This window comes from Homo sapiens, chromosome 1 (genome assembly GCF_000001405.40).
Source record: "Homo sapiens chromosome 1, GRCh38.p14 Primary Assembly".
Taxonomy (NCBI): Eukaryota; Metazoa; Chordata; class Mammalia; order Primates; family Hominidae; genus Homo; species Homo sapiens.
In genome coordinates, this window is record NC_000001.11 from 68,240,455 (window position 1) to 68,244,447 (window position 3,993).

Genomic DNA, 3,993 nt, shown 5'->3' on the forward strand with positions numbered 1-3,993 from the left:
GGAAATTTTTGCAAACTATGTATCTCACAAAGGTCGACTATTCAGCATCTATAAGGAACTTAAACAAATTTACAAGAAAAAAAACCTCGTTAAAAAAAGTGGGCAAAGGACATGAACAGACAATTTTCAAAAGGAGACATATATGCGGCCAACAAACATATGAAAGGAAGCTCAACATCACTGATCATTAGAGAAATGAAAACTACAATGAGATACCATCTCACACCAGTCAGAATGGCTATTATTAAAAACCAAAAAGCCCGGGTGCAGTGGCTCATGCCTGTAATCCCAGCACTTTGGGAGGCCGAGGCGGGTGGATCATGAGGTCAGGAGTTCGAGACCAGCCTGGCCAAGATGGGGAAACCCCGTCTCTACTAAAAAATACAAAAATTAGCCAGGTGTGGTGGCAGGCACCTGTAATCCCAGCTACTCAGGAGGCTGAGGCAGGAGAATTGCTTGAACCCGGGAGGTGGGGTTGTGGTGAGCCAAGATCATGCCACTGCACTATAGCCTGGGTGACAGAGCAAGACTCCATCTCAAAGCCAACAACAACAACAAAAAAAACACAGATGCTGGCGAGGTTGCAGAGTAAAAGGAGTGTTTATACACTGTTGGTGGGAATGTAAATTAGTTCAACCATCGTGGAAGACAGTGTGGTGATTCCTCAAAGATCTAAAGACAGAATTTCCATTTGACTCAGTAATCCCATTACTGGGTATATGCCCAAAAGAATATAATCATTCTATCATAAAGACACATGCACATGTATGTTCATTGCAGCACTATTCACAATAGCAAAGACATGGAAACAACCCAAATGCCCATCAGTGGTGGACTAGATAAACTGTGGTGCATATATACCATGGAATACTATGCAGCCATAACAAAGAACAAGATCATATCCTTTGCAGGAACATGGATGGAGTTGGTGGCCATTATCATTTGCAAACTAATGCAGGAACAGAAAGCCAAATAAATACTGCATGTTCTTACTTACAAGTGGGAGCTAAATGATGAGAACACATGGACACATAGAGAGGAACAACACATACTGGGGCCTATCAGAGGTGGAGGGTGGGTGGAGGGAGAGGATCAGGAAAAGTAACTAACGGGTACTGGGCTTAATACCTGGGTGATGAAATAATCTGTACAACAAAGCCCCATGACATGAGTTTACCTGTGTAACAAACCTGCACAGGTACCCCCTGAACTTAAAATAAAAGTTAAATTAAAAAGAGTAACACTAAATATAAATAAACAAAAATAAATTACCCAGTCTCATTTACTCCTTTACAGCCAAATGAATGGCCTTGAACATATGTCCTATCTGATACCTGAAGCATGAATGATTTGATGAAGCTTTCTTTCATTTATTCCATAAATATTTATTATGTGTTGACCATATGCCAGGTATCTGGCAAGTGCTGGGACACAAATGCAAAAATGACAGATATCTTTTACTCTCACAAAGTTTATAATCTCATGTAGATGAAAGGGTATTGGTGATACAATGACTCTATTAGCTGAGAGGGCAAGTCTTAAAGAATGACTGCTGTGCCGGGCATGTTGGCTCACATCTGTAATCCCAGCACTTTGGGAGGCTGAGGCAGGTGGATCACTTGAGATTGGGAGTTTGAGACCAGCCTGACCAACATGGAGAAACCCCATCTTTACGAAAAATACAAAATTAGCCGGGCATGGTGGCGCATGCCTGTAATTCCAGCTACTCAGGAGGCTGAGGCAGGAGAACGACTTGAACCCGGGAGGCAGAGGTTGCGGTGAGCCAAGATGGCGCCATTGCACTCCAGCCCAAGAAACAAGAGCAAAACTCCATCTCATAAAAAAAAAAAAAAAAAAAAAAAGAATGACTGCTGTAAGAGGTGTAGAAGAGACCTCAGACTGGAGAAAGCAAAAGGACAAGGATTGCTCTCCTTAGCGTTTTAGTGTGTGTGTGTGTGTGTGTGTGTGTGTGTGTTTTTACTATGAATATATATATTTTTATTTAGTCATTTTTGTTTACTATTGAAACTCTGGGAATTCACAATTAACATCCTTGCCCATGAGCTTCTTATAGACACCAGAAAAAGTTTCAACCTTGTGTTCCACATTGTTCTGTTGTGCTTTGTCCAAATGAACCTTTATGAGCCGGCTGCCATCTAGTTTGACGCGGATTTTCTTGCCCACAATTTCACTTGGGAAGACCAAGTCCTCAAGGATGGCATCGTGCACAGCTGTCACAGTGCTGCTCCTGGGACGCTTTTGCTTATTTTTTGTACAGCTTTTTCGAGTTGGCTTAGGCAGAATTCTCCTCTGAGCGATAAAGACGACATGCTTCCCACTGAACTTTTTCTCCAATTCACTTACTAGCCGGATTTGGATTTTCTGGAAAGATTTCAGTTGAGTAACGGGAACAAGTATTATGATAGCTTTCCGACCACCACCAACTTCAATTTCCTTGGCTGCCGTAATATTCAGCTCTCTGAGCTGAGCCTTGAGTTCTGAGTTCATCTCCAGCTCCAGAAGAGCCTGGGAGATGCCGGACTCGAACTCCTCCGGCTTCTCGCCGTTGGGTTTCACGATCTTGGCGCTCGAACTGAACATGGCCTTCTCCTGGGAGAACTCGCCGAGCGCCGGCTTATGAAGAGCTGCTCTCCTTAGCTTGATGCACAAGGTCCTCCATGCTTGGCTCCATTTGACCCTCACAGAGACAGCATGGTTCAGAGCATGGGCTCCAGAGCCAGATCACCTGGCTTTGCCACTTACTAGCTGTGTGCATGGGCCAGTTAGGTTAAATGTTTTGTACCTCAGTTTTCTCATCTGTAAATGAGATTGTAATGAATATTAAGAGGGTTTATTTGTATAAAGTGTTTAAAACAGTGCCTGACACATAGTAAGTTTAATATAAGTAAGTAGTCACTAAAAAAGGAGAGAAAAAAGTGAGTTTTTTCCTCTTCTGCCAATCCCGCAAGGGTACCTTGGTTTCTGTCCACTTTTGAAATTATTTTATTATTATTTGTATTTTACTTTAAGTTCTGGGGTGCATGTGCAGAACAGCGTTCTGTCCACTTTAAACATTTTAATAACCCACCCCAAGCACCACATGTTGTTTGACATATATCCATTAGTTATTATTAATGTCCATTATAAATTTATTGGACATCTCCTATATGCCAGGTGCTGTTACTCAATTATGAGAGGCAGTATGAGAAGCAAGGATTTAGGATCAAACAGATGTTGGTGGAATTCTGCCTTAACCATCATCTAGCTCTGAGACTTCAGGAAAGTAACTTAACCTCTCAGAGCCTCAGCTAAGTCACCTGTGAAATGGAGATGATGTTATCTTCACAAAATCTGTGATGAGGATCAAATATATTCAATATATAAAGAGTTGGCCGGGCGTGGTGGCTCACACCTGTAATCCCAGCACTTTGGGAGGCCAAGGCGGGTGGATCACCTGAGGTCAGGAATTTGAGATCAGCCTGGCCAACATGGTGAAACCCCATCTCTACTAAAAATAAAAATTTGCCAGGTGTGGTGGTGCACACCTGTAGTCCCAGCTACTCAGGAGGCTGAGGCAGGAGAATTGCTTGAACCCGGAAGGTGGAGGTTGCAGTGAGCGGGGATCATGACAATGCATTCCAGACTGGGCGACAGAGCGAGACTTTGTCTCGATAATAGATAGATGATATAGATAGATGATAGATAGATAGATAGATAGATAGATAGATAGATAGATAGATAGAAAAAATAAAAAGCTTAGCAAAATGCCAGGCATTTGATAAGCACTCAATAACAAGGAGAAACTAGAGGAGGTGGAGGAGGAAAAGGATAATCTTGGAGGTGGATACTGTTATTTAGTTAGAAAAGTGAGGTTCAATGCCCTCAACCCCTGCCCTCTCATCCTGCCTTGGTCAGAGACTCTTTCTCCTCTGCGCCACATTCCCGTCAACTCCAGTTTCCTCTAATCGCTATCAACAATGTTTTCATTGAACC

General features: G+C 42.6%; 1 pseudogene; it reads right to left on the reverse strand.

Annotated features, from left to right (window-relative positions):
* Positions 1,979–2,645, reverse strand: RPS7P4 (ribosomal protein S7 pseudogene 4; annotated as a pseudogene).